This window comes from Homo sapiens, chromosome 4, assembly GCF_000001405.40.
Source record: "Homo sapiens chromosome 4, GRCh38.p14 Primary Assembly".
Lineage (NCBI taxonomy): Eukaryota > Metazoa > Chordata > Mammalia > Primates > Hominidae > Homo > Homo sapiens.
Window position 1 is genome coordinate 40,306,242 of NC_000004.12, and position 25,039 is coordinate 40,331,280.

Sequence of the window (25,039 nt, forward strand, 5' to 3'; positions counted from 1 at the left end):
AGTGAGCTATGATTGCACCACTGCACTCCAGCCTGGGTGACAGCGTGAAACCCTGTCTCAAACAAACAAGCAAAAACTACCAGGATTGAAAATATCTGAGTGAGGAAGATGGTTTGTAATGGAGGCAAGCTAGCAAGAAAAGAATGTGGGGGAGGGGTTCTATACCTGCATCAGATCATCTGAGGGCCCACAGTGCAGCTCCGTGGGCTCTGAGGGATTGTGTAAGAGGCAGCTGGCAGATATGCATGGGGTGGGCTGATCTGGCAAAAAGACGAGATAAATCTGAAAAATACATTTTACAGTGCTCTTTACACTGAAGAATCTTGCAGAGTAACTGGTAGATATGATAAGGGATAGAGAAGGAATTACTGCTTAATAGCTAGCCAGACACTGGCATTAAGGTTTCTGCATATTTAAATGGGTGTGCTTTTCCCATCCCTGACAGATTCTTTTGTTTTCCCCTACGTCCTTAGGTTCCTCTTTTATACAAATGGCCTCTATGTCCATTCACACTGTTCTGCAAGATCAAAGGAGAAAATAATTCCCAAAGCAATGTTCTGGGACACTGAGGGTCATCAAACATCAAGTGAAATTTGATCAACTTGCATTTTTATGTATTATCTCTTACCTTTTGCATCTTCAGAAAGGCAGTTTATCTTTATTTTCATTTAGTGGTAAAATATTTTCTAATAGCATCAGTGAAATCCTGTTGAAAGTCAATGGCCAGCTTTTTAGACATAAGACAAATGAGAGTTCTGTTGGGCACAACAGAACTGCTAACAGGTCTTTCACTATATTTCTTTCTCTCTCAGCCATTGATGGGTGTCTGACACCTCCAAACTCCCTCTATGCTGGGCTGATTAGAAGTGGAGGAGTTGTCTAAGATGCAACTGTTTGAACTTCAGCGGTGGAAGGTTGGGCAGCTGGGCCCCAGGTGTGTGCATTCAGACTGTAGCAGGAGTGATGCCCTCTCCCCGTGGTCCATCAAGCTCTATCTATAAGATGAGTCTCAGGAGACTGAGTACCAACCTCTAGACAGGAGCAGGGAGGGATATAAAATAGAAATGTTGACAAGGCAAAGAGAATGATGCCCCCAAGGCCACTGTGGTTCTACAGACTTATGTTTGTGCTCGAGTTAGAGCAGGATGAGGTTGGAAATGAAGCTTACAGAGTTACAAGGGACGGCGGTAGTTCCAGAAAGGACAGGGTCATCTGGTTTTTGGAAGGCATCTTGGAGATTTCATCGTACGTAAGCCATCCAGAGCTAGTATGTGGGCTGCATGATGTTGGGGACTTGCTTTCCTCCTGTCTTTTTGCTCTACTGTTCTCGATACAGAACTTCTCCCTGTGAGGTCCGATGGTAGTTAGGGAGCAATGGTGCTAATAGGAGGCTTTGTTAATGAGAACAGGGATGCCTGCTAGATTTGGGGTTAGAAAGGAAAACAAAGAAATGTGATGAGGTCCTAGTGTCGTTGGCAGCTGGCAAATTCATTACATCATCAAGCTCTCTGACTTAAGTCTCTTGCCTACCTTGCGCTGGTTAAAACGAAAATGTAGCCCTCAGCGCCGCAGAAAACAATTCTCCAGGGCTGTGACCATGGGGTGCCAGGGAGGAAGTGAAACTAATTGGGCAAAGACTCTTCCTGTCTGTCCATTCCTCTGTGTGGCCCTCTGGTAGAAGCAAGGATTTATGCATGTTGGGCTAGATATGAGTGAAAAAGGGGAAACATGGTCTGAAGGAGGACTTTGGGGTCAGGAATAGTCTAAAGTTTAGCAATTTTCTTTTGCTTTAGGAATCGCTCTTTGACCTCATTTTTTTTTTCTTTTTAAGTGAAGTTTCCAAGCAGAAAAGGCAGTATTTGCCAAGTGCTACAATTCACTCTAAGCTGATTGGGTTCTGAACACGAAGGCCCTTTTTACTCTCACAATCATTTAAAAACAGTAGTAGTAAGTGGGGTGTTTTCGCACTAATTTACAGGTTCCTCATTTGTTGCTATGATGACCCCCTGAGGCCGGAATTGTTATCCTCTTACAGATGGGGCAGTTGAAGCTCAGAGAGAAGTGGCTTGACCAAGGCCCAACGGCAGGTGAGCAGCAGAGTCTAGGGTTTTATCTTTCTATCACACCTGTCACCGTGGTGCCCGGGGATGAGCAGTCACTTCAGATAAACGTTGAGGTTTCTGTTACCAGCCGTCCTCCGGGCCCAGTGTGATTAGTCTACTTTGCTCAGCTTCCTGTAGGTGTGTTGTGATACTCTGTAGATACTTTATTTCCTCTTCTCCCCTAGTTCGTCCAGAAATACAAACTGTTGAATTTCTTTATCATCATTTTAGAAGTGATAAACATTCCCAAAAGGTATGTTATTTCTGCCATGGAGTTGGCAGTCTTTATTCATGCAGAATGCATTCTGGAGTGTTTTGTTTTAGTGAAAAGAAGACATTCTTAGAAATTGAAGACAAAGAGGAGAGGAAGTGAGCCCGCAGGGGGCATGTTCCCATGGGATTGGGAGTCAGGCATCTTTAGGTATCTCTGCTCCCTTCTCCTCGGGAGAAAGCAAGGACCACTGCCTTCTAAGTCAAGCAGACCTTGGTTCAAATCCCAGCTCTGGCGAAAATTCTTGAGGAAGATATTTAACCTCTCTGAGCCTCAGTTTCCTCATCTAGAAAATGGGGAGAATAATATCACTTTCTTCATTGGGTCATTGGGGGGAATTTAATGAAGTAATGCAACATTTTTCCAAGTGTGATATACATCCTATAGGTGATAGATGATTTTCTGGTGATATAGATATTCTAATGTAATAATTATAACATACACACACCAGCACACCAAAATCATCATTTCACAGGTCTGATTGCTTAGGGTGTGGCTAGGTAAGAAGCATATATAACCCACATTAAAGACTATTTTAATACAATGTTAAATGTGTGATAGAGATGGCATCAGTGGACTAGAGAGGGGGAACGACCATCACCAGGAATCCCTGAAGGAATGTGTATGAAAGTGGGCCCTGCCCACTTTGGTTGAAGTCTTCCACCCTGGTTGACTTTGGACAAAGGAAACCAGGCAGATCCAGGTTGGATGGGAAGGCTGGCTCTCCCTGAGACCTGAAGCCAGGGGCCCTGTGAAGAGTCCCTGTTAATTTCATCTTGCGCTGCTGCCCTCTGGTGTTCACGCGCTGTTCCCAGTGTCTTGAGAGCAAGTCAAAGCCGAGCCAGTGCGATTTAGAGCGTGAGCGCGACCCTGTCTGGCCCTTCTCCCACTTCTTTGTTTCCCTGCTTTCAGGGACTTTCCGAGTCCCATCAATCCCACCACCTTGGCCTATCCTCCCCCAAGTGTCACTTCCTCCTGCAGCCTAGTCGCAACTCCCCTTCCCCCAAACTCCTTACTAATCAGCAGAGGATGCTCTGGTTCTCAGGTGTGAACAACAAATGAGCTTAGTTTACTGAGGGGACATTTGTTTTAAAAGAGAAACCAGTTTAACAAAACAAAAACTCAAGTCAGCAGGAAGTGAAGTGGCTATATTTTTGAAATGAGGGTCTTTCCTTGTCTCCCAAGCTTCCTCTACAGAATGGAACCTGCTCTTTAAGCAGGCAGCCACATCCCGGGAATGAAATCCTTCAAAGGGAATGAATTGCCTTTCTTCCCAGCCAATTCTACAAGAAACTTTCAAATAGTTTCACTTTCTGTGTTCGAACATAATACTTATAACTGAGAACCCCAAATATAAGTGGTTTTTGTTAAATCACTGGATATAATAAAGGCTGGGTGTGATGGCTCATGCCTGCAATCCCAGCACATTGGGAGGCCGAGGTGGGTGGATCACTTGAGGCCAGGAGTTCGAGACCAGCCTAGTCAACATGGTGAAAGCCCATCTCTACCAAAAATACAAAAATTAGCCAGGCCTGGTGGCAGGTACCCATAGTCCCAGCTACTCGGGAGGCTGAGGCAAGCGAATTGCTTAGGTGGAGGTTGTAGTGAGCTGAGATCGTGCCACTGCACTCCAGCCTGGGTGACAGAGCGATACTGCATCTCAAAATAATAATAATAATAATAATAATTTATTTACCTCTCATGTAAACAGAGACAACCCAAGACTGTTATGGCGGCTCCCTGATCACCAGGTTTCTTCCATCTTGTTCCATTCTCTTCAACACATGGCTTCTACCTCGTGGCCCAAAATGGCTGCTCCAGCTCCAAGCTTGGTTCAGCGTTTCAGTCACTGGTCAGGAGGAAAGGAACAGAGAAGGGTACATTCTAGTTCTTTAAAGTGCTCACTGGCCAGGTGCGGTGGCACATGCCTGTAATCTCAGCACTTTCGGAGGCCAAAGTGAGAGGATCACCAGAGGTCAGGAGTTCGAGACCAGCCTGGACAACACAGTGAAACCCCATCTGTACTAAAAATACAAAAATTAGCCAGGCATGGTAACACATACCTGCAGTCCCAGCTACTCAGGAGGCTGAGGCAGGAGAATCACTTGAACCTGGAAGACGGAGGTTGCAGTGAGCTGAGATGGCACCACTGCACCCCAGTCCCCAGCAACAAAGCGAGACTCTGTCTCAAAAAGAAAAAAAAAGAAAAAAGAAAAGAAAGAGAAGTGCTCACCACTCTCCCTTACATCCTGCTGACCAGTCCTCAGACATGAGTTCACTGTCAGGTATACTGGGGAATGAGGCAGAGCAACCATGGGCCTTGGTAACATTTGACATTTTATTACTGAAGAATTAGAGAATGGATTTTGGAGACAATCAGCAATCTCCTCTATAAGCCGATGGCTGGCGTTGTGAAAGATGTTCAGACCCAAGAAGGATCAGATCCCAGAACTAAAAAGAAGCTCTAGCATTTCCCTCCTGTCATCGAGGAAATGCTGCTGGAACAACGGCTAATACTCTAAGCCTCGGCCGGGACGCGGAGATTGTAGTCTGGCTCTGCCTCTCGCCACTATCATGGCCTTGAGAGAGTTACCTAACATTCCAGAGCTCAGTTTCTCTCAGATGAGGTTACTTCCTGCTCTACAATGATGACTATATATACTTGTCATGGCATCAGGCAGTTAAATAGACAATGAATGTATTTTTTCTTCCTTTCAATCGTGAACATTTAATGTTGTGAATAATTAAGAATACACATAACTGGCTGGGCGAGGTGGCTCATGCCTGTAATCCCAGCACTTTGGGAGGCCGGGCGGGGGTGGATTACAAGGTCAGGAGATAGAGACCATCCTGGCTAACACGGTGAAACCCCATCTCTACTAAAAATACAAAAAAATTAGGAGGGTGTGGTGGCGGGCACCTGTAGTCCCAGCTACTCGGGAGGCTGAGGCAGGAGAATTGCTTAAATCTGGAGGTTGCAGTGAGCTGAGATTGCACCACTTCACTCCAGCCTGGGCAACAAGAGTGAAACTCCATCTCAAAAAAAAAAAAAAAAAAAAGGAATATAGATAACCAATTTCTGGCCCCCAGTTATCCTTTTAACCTTGCAAAACTCCTTCCTTTTGGCTAGAAGTGAAGTCTTTGGCTGGGAGATCCACTTTATGTTCCTATTGAGCTTTGGAAGCAGAAGGTCTGAAGGAACCGACAAAGACCCTCACAGTTGTGAAGTCTCTGTTTATACCGAGCAGTAGCGGCTGCCTTCGCCCGTCTCAAACTGCGGGGACAGGAAGCATATGGAGCCAGTTGATAAAGAGGGTATCAGCTGTGAGCACACTAATCTCGAGGAAATGGGGATCCCAAAGGCACCTGGATTAGCCACAGACCAAAGGAGCCCTCTTACAATTCCTTTCAGTTGCTAAGACACGCTATGTTTGAAAGAACACCCCCCAACCACACCCAAGAAAGAAAAACATAACCTGCAATTGCTCAATTCCTTACAGATAGCCAGCAAACCCTAGCATCTGGGCCTTAATAAAGAGCTAAACTGCAAACAGAAAAGCTACTTTGTCTGCTTCTTGCGGCCAGAGAGCGAACCTGTGTGCTAGTTGGTCACCATGGCTACAAGATGTGACTTTTCTAGTTCTGTGTGATAGAGTGGCTGAGCAGGGTGGTGGCAGGAAGAGGACAAATCAAACATCCAACTAGGAAATGGGGCACTGGGTGGCACGTCTCCATCCCAAGCTGAGCCTTGCTCTTGTTTTGACAGAGACTCCCTGGAGACTGGCCTTGTGACGAGGAGGACAGGTACTCCTGGTTGCAGCATCTGGGGTACCATCTTCCCTCTTCCTAGGATGACTTTCAGCTTCAGGCAGACCAAGCCTGAATCAAAGGAGAAGGGATCCAGAAAGTTACGTGATCTGATTTTAAAGCAAGGACACAGGAGCCAGTGTGAAGGGGCTACCCCTGGGCAAATCGGACACAATTTGAGCACCAAAGTAATTAAGGACAGCAATGGGATGTGAACTATTGAAAAATAGGAATCCCCAGCCTAGGCTATATCACTAGACCCCATCTCTACAAAAAATTTAAGAAATTAGCCAGGTGTTGTGGCTCATGCTTGTAGTCCCAGCTACTTGGGGGGCTGAGGTGGGAGGATCACTTGAGCCTGGGAGGTCGAGGCTGCAGTGAGCTGTGATTGTGCCACTGCACTCCAGCCTAGGTGACAGAGGGAGACTCTGTCTCAAAAAAAAAGGGGCAGGGGAAGAAAAATGGAAATCTACATGTGCATACTGATAATAAGTAGATAAGGAGGAGGTGGGGGGATCTTGCTTACAGTAGAATCCTGCAAAGTGCTAACTGGTAAATGTGCAGGGTGAGCTGGAGTTAGAAAATCATCATTTGCCACCATCCAAGTGAAAGCTGGCTCAGGCAAGGATCATTAATAGTTGCTAAATTTAAGTGGAAATTCTGATGAGGAGCAGGATATTTGCATGATTTTTAAAGTACCTATTCACAGATTGCTTATTGGTTACAAGAGAAAAAATAGTAATTCTACAGTGGAGAAGTCAAACAACACGTTGATTGGGTGATCAAAATTTATGTCACCAGTAAGGGGCAGATGGACCTTGTGTGCTTCCAGATGTGATGCTCCAAAAAGGACACAGTATCACCTATTTAATGTGCTGTCCAGGAATGCATAACCTGAATTTAATGATGGGAAACATCAAAAAACCCCAAATGAGAAAATTCTATTTAAAAATAGAAAAGAGGGGACTAGTATTCTCCAAAAATGATAGTATTGTAAAAGACAAAGAAAGGCAGTGTAAAATCTTCCAAATTAAAGTAGACAACAGTTGCGGCAGCTAAATACGGTATGTAACCCTGATCTTAGACTGTATTCTATACTAAAAGGGAAAAAATGATATATAAGACATCATTGGGTCAACCAGAAAATGAGAAAACAGATGGTAGGCTAGATAAAACTACTATATCAATTTTTTTTTTTTTTTAAATATAGAGTCTCTCTCTGTTGCCTAGGCTGGAGTGCAGTGGCACGATCACCGCTCACTCCAACCTCCACCTCCTGGATTCAAGCGATTCTCTTGCCTCAGCCTCCCGAGTAGCTAGGATTATAGGCATGTGCCACCACGCCCAGCTAATTTTTGTATTTTTAAAAGAGAGGGGATTTCACCCTGCTAGCCAGGCTGGTCTTGAACTCCTGACCTCAAGTGATCCACCCGCCTTGGCCTCCCAAAGTGCTGGGAGTACAGGCATGAGCCACTACACCCGGCCTTATCAATGTTACATTTACTGAGGTTTGTAACTGAACTATGGTTATGGAAGAGAATATTCTTAAGAAATACACACTGAAATGTTTAGGAGTAAAGGGCCGTGAAATATTAGTATTTAGAGAGGAGACAGAGAGAGAGAGCTGGGTAGGTAGATAAAAGACATGCAAAATGCTAACTATAGGTGGCTATGGTGTAAGGGAACAGGCTATTTTTTGTAGTATTTTTATTCTTGTAACTTTCTGTAAGTTTAAATCTTTTCCTAATAAAAAATAATTAAAAAGAATACAACTCTTAAAGGACACACACATGCTGCTGTGATGCACAGACCATGGAGGGGAAGGGCAGGAACCGGCCACATGGTCAGGCTGTCATTTCGGTATTTCAGGCGAGAGAAGATGGTGGCTTAGACCAGGACAGTGATAGGAAAAGGGACACGGGGCATTTGGGTTCTGGATATGTCTTGAAGGTACAGCTATTAGGATTTTTTGATTAATTCCATGTGGAGTTGAGAGAAAGGGAAGGGGCAATGGAGAGCCCCAAGTTTTCTGGCCCGAGCAACTGGAGCCTGGAGTTGTCAGTAACTGGGATGAAGTGGAGGGAAATGCAGATTTGAAGTGGGAGATTGAGAGTCCGCTTTTGGATATGGGCCTGGGTAAGTGGATTCAGGGAACATATTATTTAATTTTAATTAAACTAAAGTGCATAAAATGGATACTTAGCTTTAAAAGATTTCTACAAAGTAACCACAAATCAAAGATAAACTGAATACTGTAAGTGAAGGTGAATTTCCAAAATACTGCATTTTTGGTTGGTGAGATTGTAAGATTGGTGAACAATACTCTTCTTTGTTTAGATCTATGTATATTTGTGAGGAGTCTCTTCCTGCGACGACAACCTTACATTGACAATTAAAATATGCTGAATTTAAAATCAGACCTCAGAGTAACTGTAATACAAGATGTTAAACCAATATTTTAAAATATAATGAAGCATATTCAGTCACATTGTGCTTGTCAAAAAGAGCAAAATTCTTTTATTATATTGTATACAATTGTTATTATATAAATAAATAATTTAATATATTTATTTCATCTTTAATTCAAAATGGATATTCACTAAGATATCCTTTTTGGTGTCTGTCCTGTGAGATGAACAATAATTTAGTCATGTCACTTAACGATGTGGACATTTTGTGAGAAATGCATTGTTAGGTGATTTCATCATCATGTGGACATCATAAAGTGTACTTACGCAAACCTAAATGGTATAGCCTTTGCTCCTAGGCTATCAACTTGTACAGTATGTGATCTTACTGAATATTGTAGGCAGTTATAACACAATGGTTACACAGTATATGGGATCACAGTATATGTGGCCACTTCGCGTTGACTGAAATGTTTTGTAGCACGTGACTCTATTTTATAAAGTCATATATATGTATGTAATCTATAAATTTAAAAAATACATAAATAGGGGAGCATGCTCAAAATTTGAATCAGTAAATGGAGAGATCAGAAAAGTTTGGAGACCTCTGGGTTAGAATATAACACTAATTCCAGCCAGATAAGGCAGTTACCTTTGCCATCATCTGTTCCCTTCCAGTAAAGGTGTGGTGTGGATGGAACAGTATAGATTCAGACCCATTGCTAGGGACCCCAGCTCACTGCATATGTGTCCAGTGCATTAAGAGGTTTTGTCTAGGGCAAATAAGTGATAATACATCATCTAATGGAATATTCTGCAAATTCTAAAAAGAATGGATCAATTTGAATTGATATGGAAAGATGTCTGAGATACAATAAGTCAAAAAAGCAAGTGATAGAACAATGTACAGTGTCAAATAGACAAATCATACACATGTGCTGTGTATTCACAGAAACAGGGGCTACCTGTAGAGAGTGGAGAAGGAAATTTGTTTTTAATGTACTGTTTAATAAAAAAAAACATAAACATGTATTTGTTCAATATTTAAAAAGTTTTGAAATGTTTATCCTCTTTGAAACTCCTTTTATGATGTTATCCTGGAGAAATAAAGATATAATAACTATTTTGTATTAAGTTGATCATTGTGACATTATAATGGTGAAAAATTAGAAATAACCTAAACATCTAGCATTTAGAGAATGATTAATATTGGGAAAATGAACTGTAATATAATGCGGTCTTTTAAAAATCAAGTTTCTGAAAATTTCACCAGATGGAGAAATACTGACAATATGCTAATTAAATTCACTATTAATCTTGATGTAAAATCTGTGTTAATCTCCATGATGTTAAAAATGCATAGAAAAATAAAAAGCCTAGAAGAAAATATTCCCAAATGACAACAGAAGTTGCCTCTGGTAGTGAGATTACAGGAGATTCTTTATTTTCTGAACCTTTGTATTTTCATATTCTTTTCACTTTTTTTCTGCAGTAAGCATGCATTATTTTGTAATGTGAAAGAAAAAGAAAGTAAAATACTGAGAAAATTATGACGTGCATTCCTGGCATGAGTCAGGAGCTGAATTTTCATGTTTAAATTAGTTTCAGAAACACAGGAGTGGTTTCTAGGCAACCTGCTTGGGAAATTATGTTCATTTCCATTGTTGCTGGAGTGTGCGTGAGTGTCTGAAAGAAAATGTAAGAGACGAACCTTTGCAAAAGCAGACTCCTGCTAAGGAAAAATAAGCTTTGCCACCCAGTTTTGGTCATGGGGACTTGAGTTACTGTGACCTCAGAGGCCCCTAGGGGCCTGATCATTTTTTTTCTTTCTTTTTTCCTCCATCTTTTCTTTTCTTTTCTTTCTTTCTTCCTTCCTTTTTCTTTGCTTGCTTTTTTTTTTTTCAAATGAGTGATTGATTTTAATGAGGATTGCTATAGGATGCTATAGGATGCTATAGGAATGTCTAATGTACAGTACATTAGACATTCAAGCCTCTGCATAAGGTGTGGGAAACTGAGAGGGGAGAGAGAATCAAGCAAAAACCCCCACTCTGTGCCTCTGCTGAGAATCCAGGGCTGTAATTGAGGCCGTTGCAAGGCTTTACAAGACGGATTGTAGCTCAGGATGTGAAAAGATTGCCTCATCATCATGTGAGTCATTTACCATTATTATAGACAATCCTGCTGTGCCAAAGGGCTTTTAATCAGAAGGAAACACTGAAAAATGGAATCAGGGCTAAGAAACGCTTGGCCCAGCCTGATGGGCTGTGGAGGATGGTCTGAGTTAAGAATATTTTTTAGCCTCAAGGGAGATGCGTTCTTCACTAAGCGTTTGCAGAAGGTGCAGAAGGTATTGTTCTCAGCCCACGGTGTGTGTTTTGTTGACCTTGACTGCGTTTTTCAGCAAGAAGGAAAGGCTATTTGCCTGATAAATGGAATCGGAGCTCAGCGTCTCGCTCCTAGGCCCCCTAGTGGTTGTCTTTTGCAATTAAAAAAATGAAGTGACGTGAGGTCAACAGCAGGCTCTTTGGGTAACGATCGCAGGTGACTAGAGTGTGCTGCCTTTGACGCTGGCTCCCCCAGACTTCATCAAAGCTCAGGGGAGAAGCCTTGAAAATCAGGAGCTCCAGAGGGACAGACGCATTTCCTCACAGAACGCGGGACAGGAAGGCAGGAACCTTCCGTTGTGGATGGTGAAGAGCTTGTTCTGTCTTCAAACTTCTGAACCAATGTCCTGCATTCCATGTATGTGGCTCATGGTTCTGACCACTGCTGCTTTAAAATGACAGACCTCTGGGCCGGGCACGGTGGCTCACGCCTGTCTGTAATCCCAGCACTTTGGGAGGCCGAGGCGGGCAGATTACGAGGTCAGGAGATCGAGACCATCCTGGCTAACACGGTGAAACCCCTGTCTCTACTAAAAATACAAAAAAAAAAAAAAAAAAAAAAAAAAAAAAAAAAATTAGCCGGGCTTGGTGGCGGGCGCCTGTAGTTCCAGTCCCAGCTACTCCGGAGGCTGAGGCAGTAGAATTGCTTGAATCCAGGAGGCGAAGCTTGCAGTGAGCCGAGATCGTGCCACTGCACTCCAGCCTGGATGACAGAGTGAGACTCCATCTCTCACACACACAAAAAACAAAACAAAACAAACAAACAAACAAACAAACAAAAAGACAGACCCCTGGAAGGTAAATGAAGAGAGGGACCAACAGTGACTGCCCCTCCTTCTCTGGCAGCTCTTGAGGGCAGGCCCTTCTCTTTTCATCTTGTACTCCAGGGCTTATCAAAAGGGCTTAGTATAAGTAGACTCCACAGATGCTTGTGGTCTGAATGATATGTGGAGCCCAGTGGGGTAGATAATATTATTCCTTTCACCCATGAGGAAACTGAGGTGCAAAGAAGATTTTTTAAAAATGCCTGAGATCTCTCACTAATAAATGACAGAACAGAAACTCCAGTCCCAAATCCCAAAGGCTTTTTTTCTACCAAGATGCACCCCCACGCCTCCACCATGCACTCCATCTTGCTGGTCCAGTCCGTCAAGTGAGAGCCTCGTTTTTGGTCTCTGCCTCCTATGGATCAGTCCACCCTGGAGGCACAACCTTCTTTCCCTTCTCTGAACTTCTGGTTCAGACCTCTCATTTGGCAGCGAGTCACGCCTTTAAGGAATAGTTGGCAGGGTGCAGTGGCTCACGCCTATAATCCCAGCACTGTGGGAGGCTGATGTGGGCAAATCGCTTGAGCTTAGGAGTTCGGGACTAGCCCGGGCAACATGGTGAAATCCCTGTCTCTACTAAAAATAAAAAAAAAAAGTAGCTGGATGTGGTGGCGGTGCCTGTGGTCCCAGCTCTCTGGAGGCCGAGGTGGGAGGATCGCTTGAGTCCAGGAGGCAGAGGTTGCAATGACCTGAGATTGCACCATTGCACTCCAGTGGGTGACAAAGCAAGACCCTGTCAAAAAAAAAAAAAAAAAGAGTCAGGTGCAGTGGCTCACGCCTGTAATCCCAGCACTTTGGGAGGCCAAGGCAGGTGGATCTCCTGAGGTCAGGAATTTGAGACCAGCCTGGCCAACATGGTGAAACCCCGTCTCTACCAAAAATACAAAAAAATTAGCCGGACCTGGTGGCAGGCGCCTGTAATCCCAGCTACTTGGGAGGCTGAGGCAGGAGAATCTTTTGAACCCGGGAGATGGAGGTTGCAGTGAGCCGAGACTGTGCCATTGAACTCCAGCCTGGGGAACAAGAGTGAGACTTCTCTCAAAAAAAAAAAAAAAATAGTCTTCTTGCTTGCATTACTTATTTAACTTTTATTGTTATTCAGCTTTTCTTAGAAATTTGTCTTTTTCCTCTAAATATTCCATAATCACCTTGAAGGATGAGATGATGTGTAGTTAATTCTTGTGAACTCTCTGCCCAGCATTCAGTAAATATTTGCAGTATGAGTGGATTTTGCAGCACTATTCTGATCAAAACTCACCTCTCAGTGCCTGTTTCTACTGGGAAACTAGGAAATATTTTTTTTGTTTTGTTTTGTGTTGTTTGAGACAGAGTCTCGCTCTGTCACCCAGGCTGGAGTGCAGTGGCCAGATCTTGGCTCACTGCAACTTCTGCATCCCGGGTTCAAGCGATTTTCCTGCCTCAGCTTCCCAAGTAGCCGGGACTACAGGCGCCCACCACCATGCCAGGCTGATGTTTGTATTTTTAGTAGAGATGGGGTTTCACCATTTTGGCCAGGCTGGTCTCGAACTCCTGACCTTGTGATCCACCCACCTTAGCCTCCCAAAGTGCTGGGATTACAGGTGTGAGCCACCATGACCAGCTGGAAGTGGTTTTAATATTTATCTTAAAACATGTATTCTCATCAAAAAGGTGATCCACTCCCCTCTGCTGAGGGGCTTACAACCTAAGTTAAGTTAAATACAGTTCTCTTTTCTCCAGAAGCTTAACTCTTGAGCTTGTACTTATCTTACTTATCTTGGCTATTACTACACTGGATTTAGGTCAAAGGTAGAATTTTTTTTTTTTTTTTGAAACAGAGTCTCACTCTGTCGCCCAGGCTGGACTGCAGTGGTGCGATCTCGGCTCACTGCAACCTCCACCTCCCGGGTTCAAGTGATTCTTTTGCCTCAGCTTCCCGAGAATCTGGGATTATAGGCGCCTGCCACCACGCCCAGCTAATTTTTATATTTTTAGTAGAGGTGGGGTTTTGCCATGTTGGCCAGGCTGGTCTCGAACTCCTGATCTCAAGTGATCTGCCTGCCTCGGCCTCCCAAAGTGCTGGGATTACAGGCATGAGCCTCTGCATCCAGGCTAGGTCAAAGGTGGAATCTAAATTCATTTAGGTCCTTCCATTTTGACTGGAATCTGTCAGCTCCCAAACACAGCACATCCGTTCCGCAACGGGGATCCACTCTGACAAGCTGGGTCACAGTGGGGCTAGTTTCTCTGCCAGGCGCATTTACATCCAAGGTTGTTTCATCTTGCTCTTAAGGCTGCCCTTTAGGGAGCCATGCTTGGCACAGGTGTGTGCACATTAAGGTTAAGACACTCAGCTGCCACCATCCTCTCACCGCGGACACCAGAAGCGTCACTGCCCAGGGAAGGCCAGCCAAGACTGCCTGGGGAATTGTGGCATGGGAGGAGGGTGACTGCCAATCAAGAGATCTCTGTCAGGCCTGGCTCTCACCACTACAATCATGTATTTCATGAGCATTTATTGGACACCTCTTGTATATCAAATACTGGGGATACCAAGACAAATGGAGCATCTGAGAGATGCTCAGTCTGGCCGGGGAGACAATAGGTAAACAGTTGAGTAACGGGATGGGCACTGTGATAGAAGTATGTACCAGAAACCACAAGAACATAGGAGAGGAAGCACGGAATTCTGCCTGGGAGGTTGGAAAGGGCTTTCTCGATTAGGTGATTTTCAAGATGAGACTTGAAAGAGAAGCTGTTCACTGGTTGGGCATGGAGGGGACAACTATTCCAGGCTGAGGGACAACATGGAAACAGCATGGAGGCCCGAGAGAGTGCAGCAAATCACCTTGCTATTAGAGCTATGTGGGGCCGGGTGCGGTGGCTCATGCCTGTAATCCCAGCACTTTGGGAGGCCTAGGTGGGCAGATCACCTGAGGTCAGGAGTTTGAGACTAGCCTGGCCAACATAGGGAAACCCCGTCTCTACTGAAAATACAAAAATTAGCCAGGTGTGGTGATGCATGCCTGTAATCCCAGCTACTCAGGAGGATGAGGCAGGAGAATCACTTGAACCCGGGAAGTGGAGGTTGCAGTGAGCCGAGATCGTGCCACTGTACGCCAGCTTGGGCGACAGAGCCAGACTCCGTCTTAAATAAATAAATAAATAAATAAATAGAGGGGAAAAAAAGAAAAGAAAAGAGAAAAAAAGCTATGTGGGATGGCAGGCGATGCACCTGGTGAGGAAGGCAGGACAGAGAGTTTGAAGGGTCTCCTATGCCATGATTTAGAGCAGGGCCTTCATCCTGTGGGTGATGGGGGACATGGGAGGATTTCATACAGGCAGGGGAGTGTAACATGGTCAGAGTCCAAAACATTGAAGTAACAGCAGTGTGAGTGGGGACTAGAGGAAAAGGAGACTGAAGGAAGAAGGAACAGCCCCAAGATGGTTTTCAATAGTCCAGGAAATACTACCTTGTAGGGGTTTGGGGTGATAAGAGGGATGGCGTGGGCTTAGCAGACAGGATTGATGGAGCCTGGTAGCAGATGGGATGTAGTAGTATGTGAGGGGAATCTGGGACAACTCCCAGTATCTGGCATGGGGGACTGGGAAATGGTGACTTTCTTCATCAAAACCAGGAACCCATGGCAGGCCAGGGGAAGATAGTGAGTTCCACTTGACCACATCTGAAATGCTATGGAATCTCCAAGCAGAGCTGTCCAGGAAGTGGTTGGTATGTGAGAGTCTGAGCTTTGGGTAGATACTGGTTTTGGATGTAAAAAGGCTGGATCAGGTTTCTCTCTCTATAGACATTCAATAAACATTGTTTTGAGTAGCTAATTAAGAATTACAGGGCACTGGGAAAACAGAAGGATGTTGCAATGTAAATGTGGATGCTCTTACAGTAATGGACTGATGGTTGCAGAAAAGCTCAAGCTAAATAACACTAATTTTTCAGCTATAAATAAACCTGCCTCTGCAGTTGGGGTTTTCAATTACGCAGGAAAAAGAAATGCAGCCATGGAAACGAGGAAGAGAGCTACGCAGAGGGCAGCTCGTGCCTGCAGGGCAAAAATGTTAGCACATTCTAGCCAAAATGGATGGTGAAGTATAGTCTGATCCGGTGGAAAAGAAATGCAAGTCTAATGTCCTGGGTTCAAGTATGAGTTGAGCGTCTGTCACAGAGTATCAGACATGAAGCAAATGTTTGCTCTCTACTTTTAGAGATGTCGTCAGTGTTGTAAGCTTTTTATGTGTATCACCTCATTCAATCCTCAGAACAACCTCATGACAGAGTCTTTGTTCTGCCCCCTTTAGAGATGAGTAAACTGAACACAGAGAGTTTAAACAACTTTCCCCAGGCCACCAGCTAAAACGTGGCAATTCGATGATTTGAACCCAGACAGCCTGAACCCAGAATCCTTTCAGGGACTCTTCACTACTCCTAACTATGCTATGCTGCCTTTCCATGCAAAAAGCTAGGAAATATCACTTTGCACAGCCTTCATTTTCTTATCAGTCCATGGATTTTTGTAAAGAGCAAGGGGCATAATTTATATTAAGGCCTAAATGACAGATGTATATTTTCATTGTGTTTTCTATGATTGGCTCTTCAAGGGAGTAGTGTTTAAAGTTTTGCCCCAAATGTTCTTTTCAAGGAGAGCTCTGGGAGGTCCCATAATTCTGTGACTTTGCGTTTGCAGAACACAGCAGATGACCTGAGCAGCATTCAATCAGTGATCACTGTTTATTGAACTCAGTGTCACAATAATGTTCATGGACTCACAAGTAAGAAAGACCTCGGTTCTATCCCAGCACTGCAACTTGGACATGCTACTTAAAACTCTCCAAGCCTGCCTTCTGTAAATGGGATAATACCAGCAACCTTTGCAGAGGTATAAAGATTACCATGGTAAACTGTTTCCATGGTCACAGAATTCACAATCCAAGATAAAAGAGTCATTAAGCACACAGACACACAAATAGGCAAGCAAAGGTTGGAGAAGCACATTCTAGGAGAAAGGAACTGCAGAAATCTTGCGTTGGCAGGAACTTGACACGTTTGATATACTACAAGGTCGGCAAGACCTTCTCATAAATTTGTGAAGCAATTAGCATTCTTTTAGTCAACAGTCAGCATTTCTCTATGTGTGTAGTATATTTATAACTAATAAAGTAAAACTTATGCTTTTAAGAAAATATTTTTTCCCAAACATTTAAGTGTTAATTGCATGCCTAAATTAAGTTCGTTTTTTTGGTTTTTTGCTTGATTAAAATTACAACACAAATCCATTGGATCTTAAATACCTTAAAAGCCTTTAAAAACTGGCAAAACATACTAGTTATCACAAAGATTACAGAAATTATGACATAACATTGCTTTTTTTTTTTTTTTCAGACAGAATCTTGCTCTGTTGCCCAGGCTGGAGTGCAGTGGGGCAATCTCGGCTCACTGCAGCCTCTGCCTCCCGGGTTCAAGCAATTCTCCTGCCTCAGCCTCCTGAGTAGCTGGGATTACGGGCATGCACCACCACGCCTGGTTAATTTTGTATTTTTAGTAGAGACAGGGTTTCTCCATGTTGAGGCTGGTCTTGAACTCCTGACCTCAGGTGATCCGCCCGCCTCGGCCTCCCAAAGTGCTCGGATTACAGGCGTGAGCCATCGCGCCCTGCCACAATCAATCTTTAGGTTGGGCCCTTTGAAAAAACAGAATCTTGTTTCTGATTTCATGGAACTTTTAGGTCCCTTTTCTCTTCGAATAGATTTTGAGTTTTGGAAACCAGAAGCATATATTCTTTAAATTTTTCAAAATCAGCTTCCCTATCCCAGTTCAGCCATTATTATATATTGATTTGATCTGTTGGTGTGATTGATAATTTAGGTATGTTTTATCAATATCTCATTATAATTATATGATCATCTAAACCTTGCTACTCAATGTGTGGTCCATGGGCCAGCAGCATCTATATCACGTGGGATGCAGAATCTCAGCCTCAGTCAGGCCTCCTGACTCAGAATCTGCATTTGAACGAAACCTCCTGTGATCTGATGGCCATTTAAAGCCCAGATGACTCATAGAAAGGATGCAGCTACCTAGATATGAGGGATGGAGCCTGTGGCTGGCAATCCTCTTCAGGACATGCAACTAATTTGGCATCATGGAACCCACTATTACTCCCTCTTTTCTTATAGTTTGAGGTTTCATTATAACTGCTAAGATTTTCTTCTACCTTGACCAAGAGAAGAAGGCTTGGGACTGAATCCTGAGAAATCCAACATTGAGGGAAGAAGCAGATGAGGAGGAATTGCGTAGGAAGTTAAGAGAAAAGCTGGAGTTTTCCTGCCGTGGAAACCCAGAGAAATGACTGTACTAAAATAAGTAGTGAGCACCTCACTGTGAACATTAGCCATGTTCCTATTGGGATTGTTATGAGTAGCAATTTTAAAATGAAGAACAAATGCTATCTTAGACGGGCTAGAGAAGCTCATGGAGTCTCATCACAGAGGTCTCTCCCAAGAGTCATTTTCCCGGACCTTTGGAAGAAGGATCGATGGTCCCCCACGGTGTTGAACGAAGTGCTTATTTGCAGAATTAACTCACAAAAATGTTAAATTCAGAGGAAATGGTCTGTTCACTGAAGTGTTACATTTTCTTCTGAGGGGTGAGGTGAGGATGTGAAGGGAAAGGATGACAACAAGCCGAGGTAAACTTACTTTGAAAGAATAGTACAACCTTCCCACTACTTTGTTTTCTGGGCCTCCCATAGCACTTCATGCACTGATTTTTTTTAAACATAAACAAAAGGTTTAAATATTGTTTTCAAAATTCCCTACCCAGGACTGGGCACGGTGGCTCACACCTGTAATCCCAGCACTTTCGGAGGCCAAGGCGGACGGATCACTTGAGGTCAGGAGTTCAAAACCAGCCTGGCCAACATGGTAAAACCTTGTCTCTACTAAAAATACAAAAAATAAAAAAAATTAGCCTGGCGTGGTGTTGCGCGCCTGCAGTCCTGGCTACTCGGGAGGCTGAAGCAGTAGAATCGCTTGAACCCGGGAGGTGGAGGTTGCAGTGAGCCGAGAGCGTGCCACTGCACTCCAGCCTGGGCGACAGAGTGAGACTCTGCCTCAACAAAAACAAAAACAACAAAAAATTCTCTACCCTAAAGAATTGGGTAAAATCCAGTCCTCCAAACCAGGGGAAGAGTTAGTTCCTGGAATACTCTATTTTGATCTTGCAGAATTATACTCCGTTAGAAATTAATCCAGATAAGATACGAGAAAACAATAAAGCAGGAACATTCTAGAAAGTGTATTGATTAGGACAACTTGACTCTAATAATCTATTTCTTAGCTTAAATCTGTTAATAGATTTGATTATCATAAGCACTTGGCTATTAGCCAGAAATCCTGGATAAATGGACGGATCACTGTAAATTTGGTATTTGAAGCTGTTATATTTCAAGCTGTTTTTTTTTTCTTTGTATGTGCTGTCTCTTTAGAGCTGGTTAAAAACAGCAGATTTCACATATGACGTTATCTGCAGTGCCCTGTGCAGAGGCCTGCAGGGAGTTTACAGAGACACCTGGTGGCTGAGAAGGTGAAGTACCTTGGCTTTGTCAGAAGATAAAGGATTTGAATTGTGTCTAAATTTGGTTTCTTTTTGTGGCTGAGAATTTCACTCCTTTCTTAATTATTTTAGTAGAATTGCACATTTAAAAAAATAGACTTTGATTTTTAAAGATTATTTTTAGAGCTTTCACTCTTTCTTTCTGAAAAAAATCATCAACCAGGTGAATTGACCAGTTCCATCAGCTGGGCTGAATCTCATCAGGGCCAGGACCAGAGTGAGGCAGGAGAGGCACTTGCTTCCAGTGCACATTTAAGGGGGAGCCAAAAATATTAGTAATGAATATAGATAAATTTTTTTGAGACAGGATCTCTATCTGTCACCCAGACCAGAGTGCAGTTGTGTGATCATAGCTTACTACAGCTTTAAACTCCTGGGCTCAAGTGATCCTCCTGCCTCAGCCTCCCCCATGTAGGAGGGACTGCAGGTACGCATCACCATGCCTGGCTAATTTAAAAGAACTTTTCTTTTCTTTTTTTGGTAGAGATGGGGGTCTCATTTTATTGCCCAGGCTGGTCTTGAAGTCCTGGCCTCAAGTGATCCTCCCACCTCGACCTCTCAAAGTGTTGGGATTACAAGCATAAGCCACCATGCTTGGCCTTAATACAATATTTCTAAACATCAAAATTAATGCAAAATATTTCATTATAAATAAAAATACCAAAGTTTAAAAACAGGATTAGTGGCTGGGCATGGTGGCTCATGCCTGTAATCCCAGCACTTTGGGAGGCTGAGGCAGGTGGATCGCCTGGGGTCAGGAGTTCGAGACCAGCCTGGCCAACATGGTGAAACCCCATCTCTACTAAAAATGTAAAAATTAGCTGGGTGTGGTGATGCATGCTTGTAGTCCCAGCTACTTGGGAGGCTAAAGGAGGAGAATTGCTTGAACCCTGGAGGTGGAGGTTGCAGTGAGCTGAGATCATGCCATTGCACTCCAGCCTGGGCGACAGAGAGAAATTCTGTCAAACAAACAAACAAACAAAAAACCAATAACAACAACAACAAAAAAAAACAGGATTAGTATTGCCAATATTCTCTCTCTCTTTTTTTTTTTCAGGCTCCAATATGGCTCAGAAAGGCACTGAGAAAACCTAGCCTTAGCTAGGCTAAGAGCCTAGCTTCTGGCCTGGCTTTTACGTGGTCAGCGGATGTGCGTCCATCCCCCTGCACTGGTTCCCCTTGTCCTTTCTGTGGCTCTCCTGGATTCCTCTCGTTCAGCTCCTTGGTGTACAGAGCCTATGTCAATGGCAATGGTGAGGTAAGTGAGAAGAAGAAACGGAGAAAGTTAAAAAGTGTCTTTGAGGAAAACACTTGGGAATAAAATCTTCCAGTTCTCCTGCTTTACCTTTCAGTACCCTCCCTGCTTCCTTCCAAACATGCTTCCAGAAGCAGGCACCTAGGCCATTCATACCCACGGGGCTGCTCTCGGCTAAGTAGGCCTAGCCGAAGAGACACTGAGGGCAGGTGGGCAGGTGGGGTGGGAGATGGAGCAGCGCGTTGCTGACTGGGAGAAAGCACCTCCTTGCCTCTTTTCAGTTTTAACATGTCCCTTTAGTGCCCACTTTCCAGAACAGGGCAGAGGATGGGGGAGCGGGAGATGAGTGAGGTCTTGGGGCCATGGGGCCATGCTGCTTCTAAGGGGGCAGAAGCTGTGGGAGAGGTTGGGGGCTGGTAGCTCTCAGAATAGCCTGGGAAGGGTATCAGCTGGGTTTGCACAGTGTTGTCTCCGAATCTCCCAGCTCCCCTTCTCTATGATTAGCATCCTTGAAGTAGCGTGCTACTGTTAACAGAAGAGCAGAGTGTGCCCCTTCTGCTTTTTCCCATGCTTGTCATTTGCCTAACTCTTACAATGTTAGCAGAGAGACAGTGTTTGCAACGAGCAGGGAAATATTGCACAATTGTGACTGCAGGGTCTGCTATGAGAAGAGGAAGCAGAGCCAGTGGGGTGAGAACCTCCTGGGATGAGAAGGGGTCGGAAACTCAAGAACAAAGGAAAATGTCTGAGAAGTCCCAAGGAGCAAGTGGGCTACCATTGAGGACAGAAATCTCCCATGGATGAGGTCTCCTCTGTGCAGCAAAGAAAGACCCCAGAAACAGGAGGAAGCCAGGAGATACTCACCCTATACCACACTGTACAGTTTTATAGCTTTCAAATATATTCCCTCAGGGGATTTCAGGGAAAATAGTATGCACCCTCTGACAAAGCACAGACATCAGAGCCCGCTACAGTCCCCAGATCACTCACTTGGACATACTGGATACCCTGGATCATATATCAGCTGCTCTCCTGACCCAGAAAACTGCATGTCTCTTATCACCCACTCATGTCTCTTCATGAACTTGGCTCTTCTGTTGGCAACTTTATGAGTTTCTTTTTACCAGTGGGTGCTTTCTGACTACCGTAGCCTGTGTGGTTTGGCAAGGGGAATCATAGTGGCATTCACTGAGAGTCTTGCTTTGTGCCAGGTGTGTGCTTGGTACTTTATCTGCTTTCTCTTGAATCCTCACAATAACCCTTTTGGGTAAAATATTATAATCTTCCTTTATACAAATGAGAAAATGAGACTCTGAGAAATAATTACTACTAACATGACTAGTAAGTGGTGGTCCTAGGACTTGAACTGGGGCCATAGGACTCCTCCTGTGTCCTTAGGTCCTTTCTGTTGCATTAGGTCAGCAGAGACATGGGGAGATGCCTCCACACCCTCCCCCTGCATCCTTGGCAGATGCTGCTAACTGGATTTGGTGGTTGTTTCCCTTGAGCTAGGACTATGTATAAGGGAAAAATTATGGTCCATGTTCTCAAGGAATTTTGCTTTGACATAGGTTAAAATATAACACAGCAGTAGACTGACAATGTAAGGCTGTAAATAACATCCTGGCCATGAGTGCTAAAAAAATCAGGTAAGCTTATGAATCATAGGAAATATACCCACCATTCTTTGTCTGAAAGCTGGCCTTTCCCTTACTTCTTAATTCCTTAGATTTCTCATTCTAGATATTACTCATTTATGCATCAACAAATATCCTCTAATATCCTCTCTGTATCTGGGAGAATAGCACAGAACATGACAAAGCCCCCACTTTTGTGGAACTTAATTTTAGTAGGGAGACAGACGATAACTACCAAGTGCAATGCATACATGCAGGTCAGCTGGTCCTAAGTGCGAGGAAGGGTGGATCCCAGAGATGGAGAGAGGGCTGGGATGTTACTCTACGTAACATCATCAGGGAAGGGCTTCTGATAAGGAGGCACTAGGCAGAACCCAGGAGGAAGAAGAAGGGGAGTCAGGAGGATATGCTAATGGTGCTCCAGGCAGAGGGAACAGAAGGAGGGGCGCAGTGTGCATGTGGAATGCAAGGAGGCCAGCACGGCTGGAGCTACATGAGCGAGGGGGAGAGTGTTGGAGAAGGAAAGTCGGGGGAGACATCACGTACGGCCTTGTAGTTGCCAGTAAGGATTTTGGCTTTTATTCCAAATAAGGTGAGAATCCACTGGAGAGAATCCACTGGGCAGAGGGGTGACATGATCAGATTTGTGTTTTAAGATGACCACCTGGCTGGGCTTGGTGGCATGTACTTGTAGTCCCAGCTATCTGGGAGGCTGAGATGGGAGGATCTCTTGAGCCCAGGAATTGGAGGCCACAGTGCACAATGATAATGAGGGAGTGCAGTGAATAGCTGCTGCACCCCAACCTGGGCAACACAGTGAGACCCCCATCTTATAAATTATTTAAAAATAGGCTGGTCATGGTGGCTCATGCCTGTAATCCCAGCACTTTGGGACTCTGAGGCAGGTGGATCGCTGGAGCTCAGGAGTTTGTGACCAGCTTGGCCAACATGGTGAAACCCTGTCTCTACTAAAAATACAAAAATTAGCCAGGCATGGTGGCAGGCACCTGTAATCCCAGCTACTTGGGAGGCTGAGGCAGGAGAATTGCTTGAACCTGGGAGGCAGTGAGCTGAGATTGTGCCACTGCACTCCAGCCTGGGTGACAGAGTGAGACTCCGTCTCAAAAAAAAAAAATTAAATTAAAAAAATAAAAATAGAAATAAAAAATAGATGAAATGAAATAAAATGACCGTCTGGCTCTTACCTGGAGAAGGGAATTCAGGGGCACCGTTGGCTGCTAGGAGGCAAGTGTGGTTGGTGCAGATGGCAGTCAGCAATGGCTTAGACCAGGAAGACAATAGGGAAGGTGGGGAGAGGCGGCTGGGTTCCCGATATGTTGTGAAGGTGGAACTGCTGGGATTCATTCACAGATTGGATGTGGGGTGTTCCAGGTTGAATTGCATCCTACAGAATTCACACGCTGAAATCCTAACCCCCAGTACTGAAGAATGTGACCATATTTGGAGATATGGTCTTTAAAGAGGTAATTAAGGTTAAGTGAGGTCACTGGGGCGGGACTAATTTCATCTGAGGAGACAACGGGTTTCGGTACAATCGGGGAATAGGGTCACAACCTAGAAACCAAACAGAACTCTGGGACTCTGTATCTCTTAGGGAAATTGCCAGAGCCCTGCCCTCCAGGCCTGTCCTTATTCATGGGGATCTGAGAAGAAGAGATTAGGACCCAGACATGCACAGAGGAGACCCTGTAAGGACACAAAGAGAAGACAGCCATCTGCAAGCCAAGAAGAAAGGCCTTGGGGGAAACCAGCCCTGCCCACACCTTGGTCTGGACTTCCAGCTGATTCTTGGATGAGCTGGTCCTTAGGCACGGAGGCAGGACTGTGAGAAAATAAATTTCTGTTTTTAATTCACCTGGTCTATGGTATTTTGTTGTGGGAGTCCAAGTAGACTAATACATGGGGTTTGAGAGAGAAGAAGCGAGGATGATGCGCAGGAGTTGGATCTGTTTGAAGTTAGGTTAGGAAAGTTCATTTCCTTCACGATGCCCAGAAGCACCAAGAGAGATTGTCCCGCTGGGTTTCACTCAGAAGAGTTTTCCAGTCCACTACACACCACTGACAGAGCCAGAGTACAGTGGGACAAGAGTGAGACACAGGCACATGCAGTCACAAAAGGAGAATCGGCTCCATGCCCAGTGTGATCACCTTCAGGTGCCCACACCATAATGAGCTCCGGTCCGACGTTCCTGTTGGCCCAGAGGTCCTCCTTCCTCCCCTTCCTGAATCGCTTTTGTTCTGATCTAACCTGCACTTCCCCAGGCCAATGGATTTGAGTACAGCTGGGGAAGGGAGTTGCTAGGATTTCTAGCAATCTAGAAACAAAACTGTGTTCTGGGACTCTGTACTTCTCAGTGAAACTGCCAGAGTTCTGCCCTCCAGTCCTGTCCTTATTCATGGGGACCCCAGAGAGACTCACTTGAACTTCTGACCCATTCCCCTGCTGCTCACCCTGCCAGCCCCTGGCCTGGCTGTAGCCACAGTTCCCACCATCACCTATATCTGGAAACTCTAATTCCTCATCCACGACACTATCACGGTCACCCTGTGGAAGTGAGGAGGCTTGCCCAGCCTCCAGACATCCAACAGGGTTGCTTCCTACTCTTTCCAGTTCTCTTACATTTCTGATTCCTTATTAGAAAGGGTTCTTCCATGCCCAGAGCCTCCGCTGGAAGGCAGTTTGAGTCTCACTGGCTGAGCTGCAGTGGGAGTCAG

General features: G+C 44.5%; 1 long non-coding RNA gene across 2 annotated transcripts, besides 10 other annotated features; it reads left to right on the forward strand.

Annotated features, from left to right (window-relative positions):
* Window positions 1-943: 943 nt before the first annotated feature.
* LINC02265 (long intergenic non-protein coding RNA 2265) lies at window positions 944-24,178 on the forward strand. Of its 2 annotated transcripts, NR_121641.1 has the most exons (4): window positions 944-1,245; window positions 2,036-2,087; window positions 20,469-20,669; window positions 23,919-24,178. It is a non-coding gene; the product is annotated as a long intergenic non-protein coding RNA 2265 (long non-coding RNA). The 2 variants fall into 2 exon arrangements; NR_121640.2 differs by lacking the exons at window positions 944-1,245; window positions 2,036-2,087 and adding an exon at window positions 10,243-10,739.
* Window positions 1,364-1,413: an enhancer, noted in NCBI's record as "active region_21486". NCBI's record gives its function as "activates an Ori minimal core promoter by ATAC-STARR-seq in GM12878 lymphoblastoid cells {active_cell/tissue: GM12878}" and the evidence as "EXISTENCE:reporter gene assay evidence [ECO:0000049][PMID:35858748]".
* Window positions 1,984-2,113: an enhancer, noted in NCBI's record as "active region_21487". NCBI's record gives its function as "activates an Ori minimal core promoter by ATAC-STARR-seq in GM12878 lymphoblastoid cells {active_cell/tissue: GM12878}" and the evidence as "EXISTENCE:reporter gene assay evidence [ECO:0000049][PMID:35858748]".
* Window positions 3,051-3,345: a silencer, noted in NCBI's record as "tiled region #8605; K562 Repressive DNase unmatched - State 5:Enh". NCBI's record gives its function as "represses a minimal TATA promoter and a strong SV40 promoter by Sharpr-MPRA in K562 cells {active_cell/tissue: K562}" and the evidence as "EXISTENCE:reporter gene assay evidence [ECO:0000049][PMID:27701403]".
* Window positions 3,051-4,886: a biological region, named in NCBI's record as "MED14-independent group 3 enhancer GRCh37_chr4:40311945-40313144".
* Window positions 3,118-3,756: an enhancer, noted in NCBI's record as "NANOG-H3K27ac hESC enhancer chr4:40311376-40312014 (GRCh37/hg19 assembly coordinates)". NCBI's record gives its function as "activates a minimal SCP1, AML or CMV promoter by ChIP-STARR-seq in primed H9 embryonic stem cells {active_cell/tissue: H9 hESC(primed)}" and the evidence as "EXISTENCE:reporter gene assay evidence [ECO:0000049][PMID:30033119]".
* Window positions 3,687-4,886: an enhancer, noted in NCBI's record as "MED14-independent group 3 enhancer chr4:40311945-40313144 (GRCh37/hg19 assembly coordinates)". NCBI's record gives its function as "activates an origin of replication core promoter dependent on BRD2, BRD4, P300/CBP and CDK7 cofactors, and independent of MED14, by STARR-seq in HCT116 cells {active_cell/tissue: HCT116}" and the evidence as "EXISTENCE:reporter gene assay evidence [ECO:0000049][PMID:35650434]".
* Window positions 3,757-4,395: an enhancer, noted in NCBI's record as "H3K27ac hESC enhancer chr4:40312015-40312653 (GRCh37/hg19 assembly coordinates)". NCBI's record gives its function as "activates a minimal SCP1, AML or CMV promoter by ChIP-STARR-seq in primed H9 embryonic stem cells {active_cell/tissue: H9 hESC(primed)}" and the evidence as "EXISTENCE:reporter gene assay evidence [ECO:0000049][PMID:30033119]".
* Window positions 10,333-11,171: an enhancer, noted in NCBI's record as "H3K27ac-H3K4me1 hESC enhancer chr4:40318591-40319429 (GRCh37/hg19 assembly coordinates)". NCBI's record gives its function as "activates a minimal SCP1, AML or CMV promoter by ChIP-STARR-seq in primed H9 embryonic stem cells {active_cell/tissue: H9 hESC(primed)}" and the evidence as "EXISTENCE:reporter gene assay evidence [ECO:0000049][PMID:30033119]".
* Window positions 10,780-11,079: an enhancer, noted in NCBI's record as "active region_21488". NCBI's record gives its function as "activates an Ori minimal core promoter by ATAC-STARR-seq in GM12878 lymphoblastoid cells {active_cell/tissue: GM12878}" and the evidence as "EXISTENCE:reporter gene assay evidence [ECO:0000049][PMID:35858748]".
* Window positions 19,223-19,272: an enhancer, noted in NCBI's record as "active region_21489". NCBI's record gives its function as "activates an Ori minimal core promoter by ATAC-STARR-seq in GM12878 lymphoblastoid cells {active_cell/tissue: GM12878}" and the evidence as "EXISTENCE:reporter gene assay evidence [ECO:0000049][PMID:35858748]".
* Window positions 24,179-25,039: the final 861 nt, after the last annotated feature.